Source organism: Homo sapiens, chromosome 5 (assembly GCF_000001405.40).
Source record: "Homo sapiens chromosome 5, GRCh38.p14 Primary Assembly".
Lineage (NCBI taxonomy): Eukaryota > Metazoa > Chordata > Mammalia > Primates > Hominidae > Homo > Homo sapiens.
In genome coordinates this window covers 128,318,397-128,342,160 of record NC_000005.10, presented here as the reverse complement: position 1 = coordinate 128,342,160, position 23,764 = coordinate 128,318,397, and the positions used below count along the sequence as shown (strand labels likewise).

General features: G+C 38.3%; 1 protein-coding gene across 2 annotated transcripts in view; it reads left to right on the top strand.

Moving 5' to 3' along the window:
* Window positions 1–23,764, top strand: part of FBN2 (fibrillin 2) — a 280,337-nt gene that overhangs the window by 196,085 nt on the left and 60,488 nt on the right. For both annotated transcript variants that reach the window (XM_017009228.3, NM_001999.4), the window contains 10 exons: window positions 3,100–3,228; window positions 4,039–4,164; window positions 6,048–6,173; window positions 6,584–6,706; window positions 6,866–6,991; window positions 7,317–7,442; window positions 9,127–9,249; window positions 11,466–11,588; window positions 13,340–13,465; window positions 23,160–23,282. In XM_017009228.3, coding sequence (XP_016864717.1) covers window positions 3,100–3,228; window positions 4,039–4,164; window positions 6,048–6,173; window positions 6,584–6,706; window positions 6,866–6,991; window positions 7,317–7,442; window positions 9,127–9,249; window positions 11,466–11,588; window positions 13,340–13,465; window positions 23,160–23,282 — 1,251 coding nt within the window. The remainder of the gene's footprint in view (window positions 1–3,099; window positions 3,229–4,038; window positions 4,165–6,047; window positions 6,174–6,583; window positions 6,707–6,865; window positions 6,992–7,316; window positions 7,443–9,126; window positions 9,250–11,465; window positions 11,589–13,339; window positions 13,466–23,159; window positions 23,283–23,764) is intronic.

Genomic DNA, 23,764 nt, shown 5'->3' with positions numbered 1-23,764 from the left:
CTACCATCATGACTTCAGAGATGGCCTCTGCTGAGCTGACTCCCAGACCCTGTCTCTAACTCTCTCTGTTCTTCCTGAGTTTCACTCCCACATTTATAACTTCCCATCTGGAAAGTTTGTCTTTGTTTTGATCTTTCTTTGCTCTTCCCCCTACCCTGTACTTTATCCTACTAGGGACTTCCCTGTATGCATTAGGAGTATAATTTTGAACAGGATTGAAGCCTCCAATTGAATTTTGATGTCTCTCTCTCCCAAAGTGAAAAAGTTATGCGAATTCTTTCATTAAACTGGCTATTTCAATTACCTGTGATATTTCTTCAGACAGAGGCAGGTTAAGCTCCTCAGGAAACAGACTCCAAGGCAGAGAAGAGCATTCAGGAAGTTTATCGGGGCTTGCTCCTGGGATGAACAATGAGGAAGGGAAGGGAGGAAAGCAGAAGTGGGCAGAGAAAGAAATGGGGCTATGATGCAGTCCCACTGAAGTCCTCAGCCCATGCCACTGGGAGTTCTGGAACTGGGATGGCCCATCAGAGTTGCCTTGAGTAGGGCATGGAAGCCATGCAGTTAGGTACCTGCAGGACCAATCTTGGGATACAGCTGCCCAGGGAATGGGGGAAGAGGTCCTCTTAGAATAGTGGGCATCTGAGGGCTTTCTGCCAGCGACACTACCAATAGCTGACGGGGAGGGGGAGTAAGTCCTTCTTTCCTGAAGAGGGACCTGGGTGACATGTCACAGTATCTACTGTATCACAGACTCCTCCAGGATCTCCCAACCTGTTAAGTTCCCACGGTCAAATCCTTCACTGCCACAACCCAGGTTAACCATCCAAGCAGGGCTGGATTGTGTAACTTCCCACTGAACAACTTCCACTGGTATAGGCAATCCTGGTGCTGGATAAAGAAGCTCAGGGTTCTTCCAGTTCTGACCCCACCTCTTCCTTTGTTGTGAAATTAGCCAAAGTTGCTTAATGTCTCTAACACATTGACAGGGCTGCATTGCTCTGGATATACTGTGAAGTTCTGTGGAAAATTGTTGGCTCTCATCTTCACAGCAGGAAGGGCCGGTCTCCTCCCATGCTGGGGGCTTTTAGTAATCCTACCGGTCCGTCCTGTACCCACACTCATTGTCAGCCTCTCCAGTCCAGCCAATCTGTGGCTTACTGCTCCCTGAAATGCTTCCTTTCTCTTCACCGGTGCGCTTCATCTCTTGCCTCTCTATTCTGTATCTTTAAAGCTAGCATTTCTGTACAACCTTCAAGAACCAATTCAAAAGCCACACCCTCCAAATTACCCATTCTTAGCAGAGAAGTTTGCATATATATATAGAGAGAGAGAGAGAGAGGGAGAGAGAGAGAAAGAGAGAGCACTTTCTATGAGACAGGCACTGTTCTCAGCACTTAACAAATAGTCATTTAACTCTATGAGGTGGATTCTATGACAAATAAGGAAATTGAGGCACAGAGAGACTAAATGATTTTCCCAAGGCCCTGTTCTCAGTAGATGACAGACTGGGATTTGTAGCCAGGTATCTGGTTCTAGAATCCACACTGTTTATACTATGAAACTCCCACCACATCACATTAGCCAAAGATTGTCCCTGCTCCACCCTAGAACACATTCCTCATATGACTCTTAACACCAGTCCTAGATACTGATAGATAGAAAGAAAATTAATATACATATTGTTAGCTACTTAATTGAATCAATAAATTCTGTTAATATGTTTGTTTAAAAGAAAGTATTTACATTTTTTTCACATGGCCAGTAATGAGGGAAATAAATAAAGACTCCTGTAATTGGAGAAATAAATACAGAAAAACTAAGTAAAAGCTGGCAGAAAGCAGAGACTGAGACCCCCCTCTCAAGAGAACATGCACAAATTATGCACTAAATCCTGTGATTTTAAAACTTCAAAATTAAGTTCATCAAAATAAAGAGATCGTAGTGGGGCATTTTTCCCCACTGACAGATTTTTAGATTAAAAACTTTTGATTTTTGGACTAAAACATTTGTAAATAGGTCATGTTTTCTTAAACATATTTTATATAGACATGACTTCTCTATTAAAAATCTTAGTTATAAGCATAGGAGATTTCTCAGAGAACCCTGTGTTTGAGAATATAGTTGCTGAAGATTATTTACTGTAATATATAAAAAGAGGAAACAAACTCACCCACACAGTCCTCAGGTGTTGGTGACAGCTCATGTCACCAAAGGGCTTACTAAATCAATAAGCTCTTTACATCTGAATATGACACAAAAACACAAATTGGGGCACACACCATGGCCCTGCCCTATGTGTGCTCTCTGGCTCAGGGTTGGTCCGTCGTGGCTGCCTGTCTCTCTGGGGTTTGCCAGTCCCTCCTGCACAGAGACAGGGGCCCTGCCTTCACATGCTGCGACCTGGGGTGGCATGGGCTAGTGTAGTAGACCAGCACTGTCTTCCAGTCACACATGAGGTTTCATTCCATGGGGGCCTGGCTGCCTCATTTACCACCTGCCTCATTCAGCCCATACCACAGTTGCAGGGTTCATCCTTCTGTTAACATTTCTTTCTTTTTCTTTTTCTTTTCTTTTTTGAGACAGGTTGTCCCTCTGTCACCCAGGCTGGAGTACAGTGGTGCCATCATACATCGTAACTCCGTGCAGCCTTGACCTCTTGGGCTCAAGCAATCCTCCCACCTCAGCCTCCCCAATAATTTTTTTTTTGTAGAGATGGGGTCTCCCTACATTGCCCAGGCTGGTTGCAAACTCCTGGTCTCAAGCAGTCCTGCCTGGGCTTCCCCAAGTGCTGAGATTACAGGCATGAGTCACCATGCCCCCCTTTTCTGTTACGATTTCTAAGCCACAAAAACAAATACACAATTCAGAATTTTTAAAGGTGAAAAGGCACCACTTGCCTGTTGGCATGGCAGTTTTGGCAGTTGGGGAAAGGAATGTGCCTCAGGTCCCAGGCCCTTCTATCTGGGTCTACTGAAAACATACCCTTGTACTGTTAGCCAGCAATTTCCCCAACTTTTCAAGCATGCAGCACCTTCGCTTGGAAGGCCAAGTCTATCTCATTCAATTTTTAAATTTCTTTTAAACCCTGTGAATTAGACATCGACGAGTGCAGGATTTCTCCTGACCTCTGTGGCAGTGGAATCTGCGTCAATACACCGGGCAGCTTTGAGTGCGAGTGCTTCGAAGGCTATGAAAGTGGCTTCATGATGATGAAGAACTGCATGGGTAAGCACCGTGAGCTCTTCCTCGCCAGCTTGAAACCATACTAGCACAGACTCATTCGTGCGCATGACCTTTGCTTATCTCTGGGCTGTGAACGGCATGTGTGGCCAGCATCTGTGGTGAGAGAGAGAAGAGATTTAAATGTCAGACAGGAAATGCGCTCCTGGATAGCTCTCGGGGAGCCCCAACCTCTTGGCGCCTTCATGGCAATGAGATACTCAGATTGGATCCTGTTTATTCATAGAATCTAAAATCACACAGACTGTTTATTTAGGTGGGACTACTTTAAAATGCATGGCATCGTGTGGTGGCCCCAAGATTTGTATTCAGTCATGCCAATCCCATGTTATTGCTCTTATTTGTGTACTATTACAAACTCTTTTGGTATTCCCAACCTTTTAGCCCACTGTTTAATTTTCAGTATGATATAAGACCTACCTCATAGGATATAGTAGGTTATAAGTCTAAGATTCTCCTTCACCCTGATTAGCGTTACAGACACCAGGATAACTGACAACAATATATCATGAGTCCGTGGTGATATAAAGCAAATATTATGTATTTCTACCCCTTGTGAGCCTGCTGATTTCATGCAATTAAATTTCTTGAAAGCTTACTACCTTTAAGAGTAGAAATTTTAGTTTTTCTGTTGGTCGTAGGAAAAGTGAGGAAAGCGTTATCCCATCTCCTATGAAGCATCTCTCTTCCACTAACTCACACTCTCACATCAGATAATATTCTTTCTCCCACGCTGTATGTGTGAATATTTTTCCCTCAGAGTTCTTTAATGGATCTCACGTTTTTACCTTTCAGACATTGACGAATGTGAACGTAACCCTCTCCTTTGTAGGGGTGGCACCTGTGTGAACACTGAGGGCAGCTTTCAGTGTGACTGCCCACTGGGACACGAGCTGTCACCATCCCGTGAGGACTGTGTGGGTGAGTTTATCTCCTCAGCACATAAACCTGCCCAGCACAACTGGTAAAGACCAGGGATCAGTTCTGACAAACCTGTTGTTTGAGGAGCACATGAAATCTAGCTTATTAAAAGGTGGAAATTGAGATTCCCTACATCTGGATGCAGGCTGTGTCTTTAGTGGATGCTTGGGTGACACACTCGAATAAGCTGGCATTCTTCTGGTTGGCCTCTTTTTTTATAACAAGCCACGTGATTGGTCCCTGTGTGAGGAGCCCTGTGGAAGTCCTTGTGGTCTCATCCTCCATTAGGAAAAAATGGGAAAGCTACTGTGTGCGTTGTGCACCTTTGCCCAGCGTCTTCCCATCCACTCGGCAGACTCCGCTCTACGCCCCTGTGCCTGCTCACGATCGGCTTGCACATGTGTGAACATGGCGCTCCCTTAACCCACTTCTCATGGAAACACTGGGTTTCCTCATTTGCCCTGAGCTCTGTAGGGCTGCCAGAAAGGATATGAGAAGACTAATGACTGGTCTTTGGGCGTTGCAACCTATTGCTTTTCACAATACATGAAGATCTCTGGACTTACTATGTTCCTAGTATACTGGCTTTAAAACTTTGTTTTAGCCAGAAAGCATGTTCTTCATAGGAACTCTTTCTTAAAACCGTAAGCAAATAAGACAGCCTAAAATAGAACAGATTGCACACCAAATTTCAAAACATAATTTGAGCACACCTTTCCAATACACATATATTTATTTATAAGCCTTATGTATTGCTTTGCTAGTATATGAGGTGAATTTTGTCATAGATAAATAGATATTTTAAAATGATAAATGAAAAGGTTTTTATGTTCTTATTTCATTTTAATAGCGGTACAAAAGGCTTTTTCACACTAATAATTGCAGAATATTTATTCATGGTTGAACATATTGAGGTATAATGAGTCACAGATCTAAGTTTACTTTGTTATTTAGTTTTCGTGGATCTTACAGCTTAAAAACGTATCCCCCAAAGGAACAATGCAGAATATAAAATATATATTTCTGTATAATATACACTTAGTGATCATAAGCATAAACCCATGCCATATAATCTTCTTGGTTATTTTGAGAATTTGGAATAAATTTCTTGTTATATCTGATTATACTGTACTGTTTTTTACCTTACCTTATACCTGACAAGTAGTTTACATAAGGAAGTGTATCACCCTGCCATTTTCTTCTGTTATCTTGTGATTACATTATTGGTACTAGTTTATTTTTAAGGCACCTGCCCATATTATAGGGGTTAGTTTATTTTTAAACAGGCAGTGTGATTTGTAGATTACTATCCCGACACACAAAACATAACACAGTGTAAACAATTAAATACATGAGGGCCCTATTGTCATGCCTCTGTCTTGTGGAACCATCAGTCTTCCATCAGTATACTTCAAATCATGTAGGCAACACTTCACCATCTAATATAGACCAGGTGAGCGTGCCAGTGTAAGTTCATATATTAAGTAGTATTTAGCTTCAGTTCTGGCATATGTGAAATCTGTGTGGTCTAACATGATAGTCACTAGCCATATGTGGCTATGTAAATTCAGTTAAAATTAAATAACATTAAATATTCCTTAGTTATACTGTCCATATTTCCAGTACTCAGTAGCACATGCAGCTGTGTATTAGACCGCATAGATTTGGGAGCAGTTGCATCATTGTAGAAAGCTTTACTCAACAGTATTGTTGTAGATGGAAATAGAGAATCCAGCATTTTCTTTCAATCCCCCAGGAGAACATTTTACTTCCTCGTGAAGTACACAAACCCCTTTGGAGACCACTGCTCTGGTGAAGCACCTTTCTGATGGCTTTAGTGAGTGGACATTGTGTAAAGCATTACTTCTGTGTATCTTTTATAGATATTAATGAATGCTCCCTGAGTGACAATCTCTGCAGAAATGGAAAATGTGTGAACATGATTGGAACCTATCAGTGCTCTTGCAATCCTGGATATCAGGCTACGCCAGACCGCCAGGGCTGTACAGGTAAGGGGAGACCAAGCAGGCCTGAAACTCATATGTCTCAAATCAGCCTAGGAAAACTTTTGGCGCTGAATTATAATGAAGGCTATGCAAATCCTTTGTCCCAAAAATGAATGTAAGACTAGGGGCAGATCTCAGTTATTGTGTGATCTTGCAGCAGACTCACTCATCTTAATGTAGAAAATGCTCTAATCCCCATAGTTCTTCTATTTCTGAGTTAATCTTAGGGTACTGCACTTAAACATGGAATGCTGCCTAAAATGAAGGTGAAAGAACTAAGAAAGATAATGTTCAATCAACACACATAGTGGGGAGAAAAATTCAAAGCCACATTAGCATTATCTGTTTAAAAAGAAGAAAACTCCTTTTAAGGAAGCAGACCTGACAATGTGGTTGCAATGCTGTTTTCACAGATATTGATGAATGTATGATAATGAACGGAGGCTGTGACACCCAGTGCACAAATTCAGAGGGAAGCTACGAATGCAGCTGCAGTGAGGGTTATGCCCTGATGCCAGATGGGAGATCGTGTGCAGGTATAGAAAGGAAAACACACAGGTTTTGTACATCTAACTAATTTTTTCTTGAAAATATGGCTCCAGATATTACCAAGTGGAACCAGATAGAAAACAAAAACATTTGAGATTGATGAACGACATTTTTATTTTCATTTGATGCTAATTTTGTATCATCAGACATTGATGAATGTGAAAACAATCCTGATATCTGTGATGGCGGCCAGTGTACCAACATTCCTGGAGAGTATCGCTGCCTCTGCTATGATGGCTTCATGGCTTCCATGGACATGAAAACATGCATTGGTGGGTATCATAAGAAAGGATAAACATTTATACACACACATGCACACACACCCACATGCACACACAAGCGTGATAAAAGGAAGGCTTTTTCTGTTGTTATTTTAAAAATTCAAATCATTTTACTAGAACTGTAAAATCTCAGGAAGAATTACTTTTAAAAATGTCTAAAGGCAGGTTGTATATTTATCTATAACACGATGATTTGCGGATGGATTATATTTTAGATCTTGCCTGTGTATTTCAGTATTATGCTATTCAGTGTAGAAGATAGCTTTTAAATTACTGTGATGAGCACATACTAAGATATTGAAAATAAATTTTCTAGATGTCAATGAATGTGACCTAAATTCAAATATCTGCATGTTTGGGGAATGTGAGAACACAAAGGGATCCTTCATTTGCCACTGTCAGCTGGGTTACTCAGTGAAGAAGGGGACCACAGGATGTACAGGTAGGTTTCAAGCTTGTGTTCTCTGTATTTCAACTTCTCAGATGTCAAAGGCCAACTTTCAACATCATTTGTTCTCTGGCATCTCTTAGAGCGGTTACCTGCCACCAGACTGTGACTGTGTGTGTGATGAGTGTGTGACCTATAGGATGTGTGATGGATTTGGCTGGTCTCTGTGGTAGCACGCTGTCTGAGCCACCCACCGTGGGGCTGGCTGTGGGCTGTGACAGAGTGAGTGAGTAGGAGTACAGTCTGGTTCCCATGGCCCTGACCACTTATGGTCGTTCATGCAGCATCAGTCACTTTCTGAGTATGACTGCTGCCCGCTTGGAAGACATTCATGTACAAAGAGCACCAAAAGACCCGAGGATCCCGGTTGCCATTTACCTCTGCACTTCTTTTAAACTAGTAAAAATTAATCAAGTTTCATTGAGACTCTTTCCCTTTCTTCCTTTCTCCCATCTTTTCCTTTCTTGTTTGCTCTTCTGTTTGCTTTTGTCTTCTCTTCTCTGTGCCCAAATTGCCTTTCTCTTTTTCCTCTCTTCACTTTCCTTCTTTGCTCACTTTGCTCACTTTGTCTTTTGTTCCCTTTCTCTACTACTACTACTAACTAGTTTTAGCCTTTTGCATGCAGGTGGGGCTAGGATGTGCCGGGGTCAAGGTTTTGGATCACGTATTCCTCAGTGCACAATTTAAGACTTATGTGTGATATTTTTTCAAGGCAGGTGGTGGAAGACTTAAGAGTCCAACCCAGCCCTTAAGCTGACCCCTCCAGTAAGGGGCAGATTATAAAAGAAGGTGTTCTTTGCATGTTCACCACTGACAGGGTTGATGTGAAGCCAGTAGTGTGTGTGTGTGTGTGTGTGTGTGTGTGTGTGTGTGATTTCAGCATCTATAATATGTAATCGTTGAACTAGATAGAACACATTACTATTTATAGTCAAGAAAGCTTTGGAGAACCAAATCTACATAGGTTATACATACATATATAGGGATATGTGTGTGTGTATACAGACACACAAATACACACACACACACACGCACACACACACACTGGCGAAAGCATCTGGCTACTTTCCAGATAACATTCCCAGTGAATATTTTTCTATAATCTCAAATAAGTAGAAGAAATAAAAATATACACCTAAATGAATAGTTTTTTTTAAATTCTGTAAAATATTTATATTGATTTTTTAAATGACAAATGATCATGTAATTTTAAAGAGAATAAACTATTACTTTTTTTAAAAAGTTAGATTCTTATCTTCATGAAAAATATGTAATAAATATCAATAGGAAGGAATAGCACCATCTATTATTGGAAATAAGATTTCTCTTGATCTGTAATCGAATGTCCTCTTTATGGTGTTGTGTCTGAATCTGGGCAGGGAAGAAGGCCCCAGGATAATACACATACCTGCCGGGGAGCAACACTGCTGTGTCTCTCTCTCTTCTACTGGAAAGTGGCTGACAGTTGTTTCTAGGGAAGAACTTGTTTTATTAGGATCATGAATTTTCCAAGTCCTCTTGGAGCCTACAAAAATTAAAAATAAAAGTTAGTTAGGCTACTCTTTTCTCCATACGGTTGCATCTTTACTTTAAAATGTTACCTATACAAAAATATACTTGGAAGTAGAATTAATTAGTTTGTATTTTGATTTTCTTCTTATGAATTATGGTTTATCAGATGTGGATGAGTGTGAAATTGGTGCTCATAACTGCGACATGCATGCCTCATGTCTGAATATCCCAGGAAGCTTCAAGTGTAGCTGCAGAGAAGGCTGGATTGGAAACGGCATCAAGTGTATTGGTGAGTTTGCAAATGTAAATATCCTTTGCTAAGGCACAAATTTTTAAAGGCTCTTTTTTGCATGGTTGTAGAATCATGCTCTTCACTTTTATTAATTCCTTTATAAAAAGGTTATCTTAGTTGCAAGATAATTCCTGCCTAAGGGTGTCCTTTACCCTTAATATAAATTATCAAAATTTCAACAGTATGCCTTGGCACCTGTTTTTTAATGTGTTTTTGTTCAGTAAAAATTGATATGCAGCTGGTGATCCAAACACAGCTGTATGATGAAAAATGACTAGTATGTTCTTCCAATCTTTTCAAAGAAGTAATCAGTGAGATTTAAAATCCAGTGGAATAAATGGAGAGCAATGAAAAGGTTTTTTCAGATAACCTAATTTTTTAGTAAGTCATCAATACCACCATCTTATTAGAAAATAGAATTCTTCTTACAGGAAATTGTAAATGCTTTCTTGCATTCCAAGAGGTCTTATTTGAAGAAAAAAAATAGGCAAATTCTCCAAGTTTTATGGTTCTTGAGCCAGAGTCTAAGAAGTCTTTTATATCTGAGAGGGAAGGGACTAGAATATACCCTGAGTGTCATTCACAGTTTTGTGTAATATGCTTAGTGTTTCACATGCCTTACAATAAAGCATTTTTCCAACTAGTAAGAATTTCTAGGTCAATTTAAAACAGAAAAGAAAGCAAGCTAAACTCACTTCCCCCTGATAACTTACAAAAAATATATAGGCCCTCAGTAAGGATTAAAGAATAGCTTTAAGATCTCTTACCAAAACTATAAGTTAATTTGAATATATACTTTTTTATCCATTCAAATATTTCATACTTATCAAAAGTTTATGTACTGACTATAGAATTTGAAGTATCAGAGCTTCCAAATAACTGCTAAATAACATCCTGCAATGGCTTAGTGAAGTGCCAGCCTCTAGTCCAGCCATCTTTCCAGGGTTACTATCATAACTTTTCAACCATACCCTCATTCCCATTTTCGTAGCCCCATGTGCCTACTCTTTTTCTCTTTTTGGCCTCCCATTTTTATGCTTCTTGTCCATCTGTCATTTTGGCCAACTATTGCAAAACAGCCTGCCTCTGATACAAGACATTCAGCTGTGTCCAGCCTCCTGTGCTCCAGGATGTCACCCAAATTCATCCTCTCCTTTACATCTTCTTTCCCCTACTCTAGTCCCAACCAGAGAGAGTTTCTGTCTCTCTCACATGCCCTCGCTCTTCGTGTCTGCTGAATGCTAAAAGAATCCCCTCTGGTATGTTGGCTTGTTCCCTCTCTGGCCCTCCTGCAATCCATTCTCCACGTAGCAGCAGGAGGAAGCTTTTAAACCATGGATTCGATCTCTTCATAGTCTTCACTATAACCCATTGAATTCGGGATAAAATTCAGCTTCCCTCCCTTGGCTGCGGGTTTCCACTGTCTCTCTAGCTTCATTGTCCATCACCCTCTGTCTGGTGCATTCTGCTTTGCCACTCTAACCTCCTTTCATTTTTTCAGTCACACTGAGCTCTTTTCCTCCTTGGTGTCTTACCATGCACTCGTCCCTCTGCAAGGAATATCCTTCCCCACCTCTGTTCAGCAAGTTAATTGTTTCTCATCCTCAGGTCTGACCTTAACTAAAAACTACTTCCTCAATGGGGGCATCTTTGTTCCTGCAGCCCAAATCAGATGCCTTTTTTATTCTCTCATGGCACCTTGTAACTTTTCTTCATGGCACATATAGCAAGATTTAGTTTTTTTCTGTGTTTAACATCTGTCTTTTCTGCTCAACTAAGGGATTCCATGAGGTCAAGAATCATATCTCTGTTTCCTCATCTATTAAATAAACTTAAAAACTCTTTGTTAATTTTCCTGCTCTGAAATTCAGTATCACCTTCAGAATTGATTCTTCTACTGATAAGGAAACCACTAATAAAATTCACCCTCAGTAGAAGTCAGAATGAGATCTAACACTAATTTGCTTTAAGCTGTTAAAAAATTCACGTTGACTAGATATCTCACAAATTGCTTGAATTCATAATTTTGGCCCACATTTATAGCCTGGACATTGGACATTGGGTCTGAGAGCTTAGCGAATTAGAACTGTGATCCTGCAAACTAAAATGCCTGTCATTTATCCAGTTTATATGTAAATTAAGACAAACGATAATCTTTCCAGGTGCTTAAATGTTCCATTTTCATTTCTGAACTTTATTGCTGTGTTCTGCAGATCTGGACGAATGTTCTAATGGAACCCACCAGTGTAGCATCAATGCTCAGTGTGTAAATACCCCGGGCTCATACCGCTGTGCCTGCTCCGAAGGTTTCACTGGTGATGGCTTTACCTGCTCAGGTGGGTGACAGTCCTGAGGTGTGCTCTGACGGGATGGTCATAGAACACTCTATATGCTTCCTTATTTGAAGAAAATTATAATTAAAGGAGACAAAAGTAACTACCTCTTTTTTTATACTTGACTTGCAGGTGACTATGTATCTTTCTCTTACATTAAACACAAAAACCTGAATGACTTTCCAAATATATTGTTGGAAGTTTTCAAATAACGGCATTTGTAACAATCATGTACTGTTAATGACTCGCCATTTTATCTTACTCATTTGTAACACAGTGGTTAAAAAAACACAGGCTTTGTCTGGATCAGACTACCTGGATTCAAATCTTGCCTATGCCATTTTTTGCCTGTAACTGTAAGTGAATTACTTAACTTGTCTGTCCTGATTTAAAATGCAATAGTAATAATACAATTTTCTTTTCTTCTTTTTTATTCCTAAATGAATGGCATGGGAAAACTGTTCAGCTTTTTAAGATAGGATATATGACCTATCCAATCACTGCTATTTAATGTGTTTATCAAAGTCTCAGTAGTTTATCACCTGGCATTGAAAGGATTAAATGGAATAATACAAATAAAGGACTTAGAAGAACACATCACAAAATTTCAGTAAATAATAGCTTCTGTTTGGCTTCTATTCATTCATACTCTTTGAGGATAAAGCATCCTCTCATTATATGCATGTATAAGACTAGATAATCTTGCTGGACGTAAAGTTGAATACTCTTCAGTTTATAAAATAAGGGTTTCTCAATTGATTTTCAGTACACACTTTAAACCCATAATTAACGGATAGCCTAAATTTTTTTCAAATTGTGGACATCAAAAATGCAGCCTCATCATTTTCAAATGCCTGTTTAAGGAAACATGTTTATTCAGTTTTAAAGCTTCATAACTTGTAGCCTTAGAGTTTGCATCTTTCCTGGCATTTCTCCGCACTGTGGTGTCAAGGAAAGAGCATGGCTTTCATGTCAGACACATCTGCAATCAGATCCTGGCTCAGTCAACATGCATTATTAGCTCAGTGTGGCTGTGTCAGCTTACTTGGCTGCTCTTAGCCACAGGTTCTTCCTCTTCTAAACCTCAGGAGATTGGTGAATTCAGTGAAAAAATGCATGTCAGGCCACCAGCACAGCATATGGCAAATGACACCCTCACTAAACAGTGATTTTTCCTTCCCTCTTATTCTGCTTGATAGAATTAAATTATCTTTAAGGTCTGTGAGTAATGTCTGTTTGTGTAATTAAGATAGGAGTATTTTTATAAGATTGTAATGACATGAAAGAAACTTTCCCCATTCCCATAGTGTCTTTAATTTGCTTTAAAACACTTGAATTAGTGAAAAAGCCAGTTATTTATTCGAATACTATAATTTTCTCAAAGAATGATCACCATTTTAAGATTAATTCCAATGTTCTTTTTCATATCTAAATAATGTTGGCATACTACTGACAAGAGAAACAAGACAAATGTGAGAGATGTCTGCGTTTCTCCTATTAATAATATTACAATTGGATGTTAGGGTGCAGGTTAAATAGCTTTTCTTTAATTATATTACAATTGAATGTTAGGGGGCAAGATAAATAGATTTTCTCTCAGGTTGATACCCTCCTTTAAGTGAATGTGATTAACTGTTGTTTCATGTTAATGAGCATTAAGTCAAGCCAGTAAAACTGATCTATTTATAGAGCAAGGAGAAAATGTGTCATGAAATTTGGAACTTAACAGAGATGTAATTTGCTTTTTTGCACAGATGTTGATGAGTGTGCAGAAAACATAAACCTCTGTGAGAACGGACAGTGCCTTAATGTCCCGGGTGCATATCGCTGCGAGTGTGAGATGGGCTTCACTCCAGCCTCAGACAGCAGATCCTGCCAAGGTGGGTCACCAGGATTCCAACTCATTTTCAAGTTGGATCAACCACAGTAAATGAAACCACAACAAGGGCTGGAACAAGCTCCACCTGGAAGCAGAATACATAGCACATGCTGCACTATAAAAGTCATTCGTTTAAGCGTGGATTATTTTGCCGAATGAATAATGATGATGGCGGCTTTCATCTCTTATGAAGTTTTCCTGGCCAAGAGCCAGTAGTTGGAAGTTTGGATCATTCTTTTTTCTTTTTTAACCATTTCTTCTCTTCTTTCTCTTTTTTATCACTAAATGAATGACATGTGGAGAAACTATTCAGCTTTTAAAGTATGCTCCATTACTTGTCTCAACTACCACTATTTATTGTGTTTATCAAAATCATAAAAAGCTCATTTTTGGCATTTACCTTCGTGGTTGAGACTGCTGTCTGTATGTCTGGGAATGGAAGTCCTCTTCAGGGATTCAGCAAGGGCTGTACTTTTGCTTAATACTAGTGGTTCCTTATTCTAAGTGATGACATCATCCACCTTTCCTAGAAATGGGTCTTTGTGCCTAGTATGATATCTTTCCAAGAAAAAGAATTTGGATTTTCTATTAAATTAGAAACTCAATTCACATTATATATAGTTTGAGCCATCATTGTGTTATGAATAGGGACTATATGAAAATATAAATGAAGAAAGGAGAGATTGAAAATAATTTATACACCATAGGGCTTCAGTAGAATTTATGATTCACAGAAAACCTTTAAAAAAACTCAGTTTGGGCCAGGCGTGGTGGCTCACGCCTATATTCCCAGCTCTTTGGGAGGCCGAAGCAGGTGGATCACCTGAGGTTGGGAGTTCAAGACCAGCCTGAACAACATGGAGAAACTCCATCTCTACTAAAAATACAAAATTAGCTGGGTATGGTGGCTCATGCCTGTAATCCCAGCTACTCAGGAGGCAGAGGCAGGAAAATTGCTTGAACCCTGGAGGCGGAGGTTGCGGTGAGCCAAGATTGCGCCATTGCACTACAGACTGGACAACAAGAGCGAAACTCAGTCTAAAAAAAAAAACAAAAACAAAAACAAACAAACCAACAAAAGAACTCAGTTTTCCAGTCATGCAGCCTCATGAAAAAAAAAAAAATACCTAACTGCTGAGCAAAAATGATAAAATGAAACATATTAAAAACTTCCCCCTACATCAGTATCTAACCAGAATGAACAGAATTGGCAAGTACTGGCACACGTGCACACACACATATACACACACAAACACACAATTCATCAGCATCAACCAAACAAAACCAAATTATACAACCTGCGGTGGTTCAGAGTGGAGCCCAACTCTGCTCCACCATCAGAAGTGGCACTGAAGAAAGAAAGTGTGCCAAAAGTTCATGAAATTCTCCAGAAATAGCAACCAATTTGGAGAGACTCAGAAAAAGGGGATGAACAGTTGGCCGTAGGGAAGATGAAGTTGGAAACTGAAAGCGTTCGTGCTTCTACGTTGACCCACAAGATTGGGCAGAATCTAATCCATTTTATATAAGGCAACTGTAGGGTGAGTTCCTTTTTTTCCCAATCCTGGTTTCTTCTAAGCACTGAAGCTTAGTAGTAGAATTAGTAGAAAATGTGAATCAATGTAAATGTGGAATGACATGATTTATTATCTACATTAGCTTGACAAGAGTTAGTGGGAGAAGGAACAGGTCAGCAGTAGCCACTTTCAACAACATAAATTCTTTATACCCAGACAGGATTTTTCCTTCCTAATTGTGTATTACTTTATGGGTGGCATAGGCCCTTTCAGAACTTCCCTCTCCCCCAAGATGGTGCTAAATAGTTACTGTTTACTGTACTTCCTTCACATCTAGTTTTCTCATATGTCATTACCACAGAGAGAAACTCCTAACTGACAGGGAAGCTGAGGGTTGGCACACCTGTAGTTCACCCTCAGTTGGACCCTCTGCTCCATTCAGCTGAACACCAGCTTTTGAGATCCAAAAAATGTAATTCCATGGTTCTGGCCATTCTCCTTGTTTTTCTCTCCTCTCCACAAGGTCTGGGTCATCTGGACAGTTTCTCCTGAATTTACTATTTTAATCCCTTGTTGTCTACCCATCTTATTATAAATACATGATCCTCCGATGAATATTTTCCACTAAGCATCCACTTCTCACCAAAGTCTCAGAATTTCTATAGAATTCAAAAAATTATTGAAGTTGGCCATTTCCCAGTAAATTCCACCAAAATGGGGGAATATAAAACCTGGAGGAGCCCCTGCAGGAACATGAGAGAGGACTCCATTAAATGGAACAGACCTACATACAGACCATTTTCTATAATTTCTGAGGAGAGAGCAAAGGCTAAGTTCATCAACATAGAGCCCAGAGGAGCTCTCCCCATTCTCAATCTTCTCTCCCTCCACCTTACGAAACTTTGGGCGACTGAATACAGCTTTAATGAAACCGAAACCAGCTATCTTCCACATAAAGCTCTGATAAAGAAGGAAAGATATCAAGAGATGTTATTTAAACTGTACTAAAGTAGATAGAAGCTCTTGAAAGAGCAGACAAAGTAGTGTCTATACAAGCTGAAAAACAGTAGCAACTATGCAGGCATTCTGTGAAAACGAAAGGAAGAAAAACACAAAATCAGCTAAAGAACCAACCCACGATGGAAGAAAACAACTCAAGAAATAAAACAAATTTTCCATAGGTACTTTATGCCATATATGATCTTAATAAAATCATAAATGTAGTTGAAGAAGTTTGTAGAGATTATAAGAGCTATAGAGTAAAAGGGAGATTGTAGAATCAAGGGAAGTAAGAAATGGGGACCAATACAGCAAAATAAGAGGACTATTAAATAAAAACAGCAAAAAACAGAGGACATACAGATGAAAATGTAATTGCTAGCATAGAGAAAGGGCCTGAGATAATAACAGTGGAAAGAGGAAAGAGAAATTAACACTATTAGAGAAAAGACAAAAACTATAAACATCAGTATAATTGGTGTTGCTGAAGAGAGCCCAAAAAATCAACTAGAAAAAAGGTACTAAACAACCAAACATTTTCCTGCAATAAAACAAAGAACTGAATATACAAAGCCTAAATTGTAAGACAAAGACTTAGATTTGCTACATTTGTCAACTTTAATCATAGAGGAGGATTGAAGACTTCAGATAGAAAAGGCAACGCATCTCACGTGCAAAGACACACATAGGCTTAAAATAAAGGGATGGAGGAATATTTACCAAGCAAATGGAAAGCAAAATAAAAAGCAGAGATTGCAATCTTAGTCTCTGATAAGACAGACTTTAAGCCAACAGAGATCAAAAGAGACAAAGAAGGGCATTACATAATGGTAAAGGGATCAATGCAACAAGAAAAGCTAACTGTCCTAAATATATATGCACCCAATACAGGAGTACCCAGATTCATAAAGCAAGTTCTTAGAGACCTACAAAGAGACTTAGACTCCCACACAATAATAGTGGGAGACTTTAACACCCCACTGTCAATATTAGACAGATCAACGAGACAGAAAATAAAGGATATTCAGGATCTGAACTCAGCTCAGGACCAAGTGGACCTAATAGAGATCTACAGAACTCTCCACCCCAAATCAACAAAATATACATTCTTCTCAGCACCACATAGCACTTATTCTAAAATTGACCACATGATTGAAAGTAAAACACTCCTCAGCAAATGCAAAAGAATGGAAATAATAACAAACAGTCTCTCCGACCACAGTGCAACCAAATTAGAACTCAGGGTTAAGAAACTCACTCATGGCCGAGCGCAGTGGCTCATGCCTGTAATCCTAACACTTTGGGAGGCCAAGGCCGGTGGATCATGAGGTCAGGTGATCAAGATCATACTGGCTAACATGGCAAAACCCCATCTCTACTAAAAATACAAAAAAAGTTAGCCGGGCATGATGCCGGGCACCTGTAGTCGTAGCTACTCAGGAGGCTGAAGCAGGAGAATGGCGTGAACCCGGGAGGCAGAGCTTGCAGTGAGCCGAGATCACGCCACTGCACTCCAGGCTGGGTCAACAGAGCGAGACTCCATCTCAAAAAAAAAAAAAAAGAAAAAGAAAACAAACTCACTCAAAACTGCACAACTATATGGAAACTGAACAACCTGTTCCTGAATGACTACTGGGTAAATAACAAAATTAAGGCAGGAATACAGAAGTTCTTTGAAACCAATGAGAACAAAGTCACAACATGCCAGAATCTCTGGGACACAGCTAAAGCAGTGTTTAGACAGAAATTTATAGCAGTAAATGCCCACAGGAGAAAGCAAGAAAGATCTAAAATCAACACGCTAACATCACAATTAAAAGAACTCGAGAAGCAAGAACAAACAAATTCAGTAGCTAGCAGAAGACAAGAAATAACTAAGAGCAGAACTGAAGGAGACAGGGACACAATAAACCCTTTAAAGAAAATCAATGAATCCAGGAGCTGGTTTTCTGAAAAGATTAACAAAACAGATAGACTGCTAGTGAGACAAATAAGAAGACAGAGAAGAATCAAATAGACACAATAAAAAATGATAAAGGGGGGGATATCACCACTGATCACACAGAAATATAAACTACCATCAGAGAATACTATAAACACCTCTCTGCAAATAAACTAGAAGATCTAGAAGAAATGGATAAATTCCTGGACACATACACCCTACCAAGACTAAACCAGGAAGAAGTTGAATCCCTTAATAGACCAATAACAAGTTCTGAAATTGAGCCAGTAATTAATAGCCTACCAAACAAAATAAGTCCAGGAACAGGTAGATTGACAGCCATATTCATCCAGAGGTACAAATAGGAGCTGGTACCATTCCTTCTGAAACTATTCCAAACAACAGAAAGAGGGACTCCTCCCTAACTCATTTTATGAGGCCAGCATCATCCTGATACCGAAACTTGGAAGAGACACAACAAAAAAATAAAATTTCAAGCCAATATCCCCGATGAACATTGATGCAAAGATTCTCAATAAAATACTGGCAAACCGAATCCAGCAGCACATCAAAGAGCTTATCCACCACGATCAAGTCGGCTTTATCCCTGGGATGCAAGGCCGGTTCAACATATGCAAATCAGTAAATGTAATCCATCACATAAACAGAACCAATGACAAAAACTGCATGATTATCTCAAAAGATGCAGTAAGGCCTTCGATAAAACTAGGCCTTTGATAAAATAGGCCCTTCAATAAAATTCAACACCCCTTCATGCTAAAAACTCTCAATAAACTTGATATAGATGGAATGTATCTCAAAATAATAGGAGCTATTTATGACAAACCCACAGCCAATATCATACTGAATGGGCAAAGGCTGGAAGCATTCCCTTTGAAAACTGGCACAAGACAAGGATGCCCTCTCTCACCACTCCTATTCAACATAGTATTGAAAGTTCTGGCCAGGGCAATCAGGCAAGAGAAAGAAATAAAGGGTATTCAAATAGGAAAAGAGGAAGTCAAATTGTATCTGTTTGCAGATGACATGATTGTATATTTAGAAAACCGCATCATCTCGGCCCAAAATCTCCTAAAGCTGATAAGCAATTTCAGCAGTCTCAGGATACAAAATCGGTGTGCAAAAATCACAAGCATTCCTATACACCAATAATAGCCAAATCATGAGTGAACTCCCATTCACAATTGCTACAAAGAGAATAAAATACATAGGAATACAACTTACAAGGGATGTGAAGGGCCTCTTAAAGGAGAACCACTAACCACTGCTCAAGGAAATAAGAGAGGACGCAAACAAATGGAAAAACATTCCATGCTCATGGATAGGAAAAATCAGTATCATGAAAATGGCCCAACTGCCCAAAGTAATTTATAGATTCAATGGTATCCCCATCAAGCTACCATTGACTTTCTTCACAGAATTAGGAAAAACTACCTTAAATTATGGAACCAAAAAAGAGCCAGATAATCCTAAGCAAAAAGAACAAAGCTGGAGGCATCACACCACCTGACTTCAAACTATCCTACAAGGCCACAGTAACCATAACAGCATGGTACTGGTACCAAAACAGAGATACAGACCAATGGAACAGAACAGAGCCCTCAGAAATAATACCACACATCTACAACCATCTGATCTTTGACAAACCTGAAAAAAACAAGCAATGGGGAGAGGATTCCCTATTTAATAAATGGTGCTGGGAAAACTGGCTAGCCATATGCAGAAAACTGAAACTGCACCCCTTTCTTTCCCCTTATACGAAAGTTAACTCAAGTGGATTAAAGACTTAAACATAAGACCTAAAACCATAAAAAACGCCAGAAGAAAACCTAGGCAATACCACTGAAGACATAGGCATGGGCAAAGACTTCATGACTGAAACACCAAAAGCAATGGCAACAAAAGCCAAAATTGACAAGTGGGATCTAATTAAACTAAAGAGCTTGTGCACAGCAAAAGAAACTATCATCAGAGTGAACAGGCAACCTACAGAATGGAAGAAAATTTTTGTAATCTATCTATCGGACAAAGGGCTAATATCCAGAATCTGCAAGGAACTTAAATTTACAAGAAAAAAAACAACCCCATAAAAAAGTGAGCAATGGATATGAACAGACAATTTTCAAAAGAAAACATTTATGAGGCCAACAAACGTGAAAAAAAGCACATCCTCACTGGTCATTAGAGAAATGCAAATCAAAACCACAATGAGATATCATCTCATGCCAGTTAGAATGACGATCATTAAAAAGTCAGGAAACAACAGATGCTGGAGAGCATGTGGAGAAATGGGAACACTTTTACACTATTGGTGGGAGTATAAATTAGTTCAACCATTGTGGAGGACAGTGTGGCGATTCCTCCAGGATCCAGAACCAGAAATACCATTTGACCCAGCAATCCCATTACTGAGGATATACCCAAAGGATTATAAATCATTCTGCTATAAAGACACATGCACACATATGTTTATTGCAGCACTGTTCATAATAGCAAAGACCTGGAACCAACCCAAATGACCATCAATGATAGACTGGATAAAGAAAATGTGGCACATATACACCATGGAATACTATGCAACCATAAAAAAGGATGAGTTCATGTCCTTTGCAGGGACGTGGATGAAGCTGGAAACCATCATTCTCAGCAAACTAAGACAGGAACAGAAAACCGAACACTGCATGTTCTCACTCATAGGTGGGAGTTGAACAGTGAGAACACGTGGACAGGGAGGGAAACATCACACACTGGGGCCTGTCGGAGGGTGAGGGGCTAGGGGAGGGATAGCATTAGGAGAAATACCTAATGTAGATGACAGGTTGATGGATGCAGCAAACCACCATGGCACACATACACCTATGTAACAAACCTGCACATTCTGTACATGTATCCCAGAACTTAAGTATAATTTTTAAAAAATGCAATTCATGAGCTAAACAGAAATATTCAATATCAAAAGACATTAGATCCATGCCCACAGAATTCTGAGGAAATGTGAAAAATATTATACTTAATATTAATTGTAAAGATAATAAGCATTTTCTTACACATGAAATAAGTCAGGTAGAAAACACCTGTGATTTCATAAAAGTCCCACCCTTCTTGGAGAAAGAACAATCAGCAATGAAACACAGCCAATCAAGAAACAAATGGAGAAGTTGTCATAAAACCATTATTGATCCCTTTAAGTAAATAATTAGTACTAAACACTGTGGAAATTATGGTAAACTGCCATAGACATTAAAAAAGTGAACATAATTAAATAAAAATAAGGAGTTGGAAGGATACATGAGTGCTAATTTTCTTATAATTTATTGTATAGAATTCATTAATACTGTCTAAAAATTACATTTCAACTTTAGCATAAAGCCAAAAAATTTTTAGCGTTTTTTATTCTTAACATTAGAAAAGTATTTTAAAACTGTTGAGATGATGGTAAATTTATCTGATGCATACAAATTGTTTTAGCTTCACTGTCTAAATATGTATATAAAAATGTCTCATCATCTTAAATGATTCTTTCTAGATAGAAACATTTTTGAGTAATTGTTTTGCTGTTTTGTTTTCTGTATTATTTGAATTTTTGAATATTTATCACTTTTATAAAGGAAAGACAGTAATCTTTTAAAATGCGTTCTTTTATACAACAATTACATTATTTAGGTGGAAGAAATTTCTAATAAAGTTCATTTAAAAGTAAAATGGATCGGGCATGGTGGCCCGCACCTATTAATACAGTGCTTTGGAAGGCCAAGGAGGGAGGATCCCATGAGCCCAGGAGTTCAAGACCAACCTAGGCCACATAGGGAGACCCTGTCTCTGCAAACCTTTTTAAATTAGCTAGGTGTGATGGTGTTTGCCCATAGTCCCAGCTACCTGGAAGGCTGAAGGGGGAGGATTGCTTGAGCCCAGGAGATTGTGGCTGCAGTGAGCCATGATCGTGCTACTACTCCAGCCTGTGTGACAGAGCAAGAACCTGTCTGAAAAAAAAAAAAATGCATAGTCAGAAGGATAATAATACAATTCCCTTTTTGAGTATAAATTAACACAATTCAATTGTAATCTAGCTTAAAGAGTTTTTACTCATTTATATAAAGAGAATAACTTTCTTACCCCCAACACAATAAAAGACACCTTTGCACATGTTAAACTTTAAACATGATTGGAACCATACCTTAAATCTAAAATAGTTGAAACCAATATTTTAACTGGGAAGAATGACCAAAGAAGTCTTGTTTAGACTTAAGATATAACTGTCTGAGGACAGCAGTTTAGAATGATTTGTCTAGTCTAGCCTAAAATGACGTGCCTGGTCTGCATTCTCAGAGTGTTAGGCAATTTATATACATAAATATCCATCCTCTTTTTGAGAGTAGAAATTCAGATTATTTCCACAGCTATACATACACATTGATTTTCACCTGAGTGAGGAGTGATAACTTCATATTTACTAACTTTGAGTTAAAGCCTCATGGAAGACTCTCATAAACTTTTCATAAATGAATTTTTAGTCCAATTCAGTAGAGATATTTTAATGAAATTTACTAGAATGTGGGGTCAATGGATCATCTTATTAACATGAAATTAGGGAAGAAATTAGTTCTCTGTTTAAAACTGCTTTATAATAACAGATAAGATTACAAAATAAAAAGGAAGTAAAAACTAAAAAGTTAATATTTATTTAATTAACTAAATTTATTTAATTAACTAAATTAACTAAATTTATTTAATTAACTAAATTAACTAAAAAGTTAATTTTAATATCTCCAATATTTAAAATGATTATGTATTTGTTTTTTCATAATATAAAACATTTATTAACTATAAAATGTCTGCTGTTTGCACTAATTAGTTAGAATCTTTGAATTTGCTTTTATCTTTTTTTCACAATTTCATTTCTTTGACATGTTTATATTTAATTTTTGTATTTTGTGTGCCTTGAGCCAACTCTTCTTTAAGTATATCATAATCCAAGTCATTCAAAATACTAGACACTCATTTTACGAAGAAAACAGTATTCTTGTATATCTTAGTTCCATAGGTGAACATTAGTTGCTTGCCCTTTACACTTATCTACCTAGCCAAAAAAGAGAAAAAAAAAGCCTTACTGAATAAAAACATCTGAGGGGGCAGAAAAATGCGCTAATGTTAGACATTACATTAAAATTTTAAAATGTCTTCTTAAATAAGAGATTACTTTTTTTTAAAATCTTCAGATATTGATGAATGCTCCTTCCAAAACATTTGTGTCTTTGGAACATGTAATAACCTGCCTGGAATGTTTCATTGCATCTGCGATGATGGTTATGAATTGGACAGAACAGGAGGGAACTGTACAGGTATGGTCAGTTACCAGCTAAGTTGTGTTCTGATTCATTGAAATGAGTATTCTGTGCTAAGCATAAAAATTCCTGAGATTTCTGCTTAGCTAATCTATGCATTAGGTTACACATTTTTCAGAAAAAGAAAATTATATTCAGATGCATTTATTTGTAACTATGGAATTGATGCATTTTTATGTAAATAATATTAAATTGTTATCTGTATGATTGTTAAATATCTGACATGAAACTAGTAAAGTGTCTCTTTATATATATGTTCATGTATATGTATATATAGTACATGTATATATATATATACATGTATATATGTGATTTTTGTTAAGCAAATAGTGACATAATTTTTTCGTCCTCAGAGTTGCAAATTTTAATTAATTACAATGTATTTGTTAAGGATGTTAAACGCTGTCATAAATACTCTGTCCTTGATGTATGGAACCTGTTTTAGGTATATACCAAAATTTAAGATATTTATTTTATTG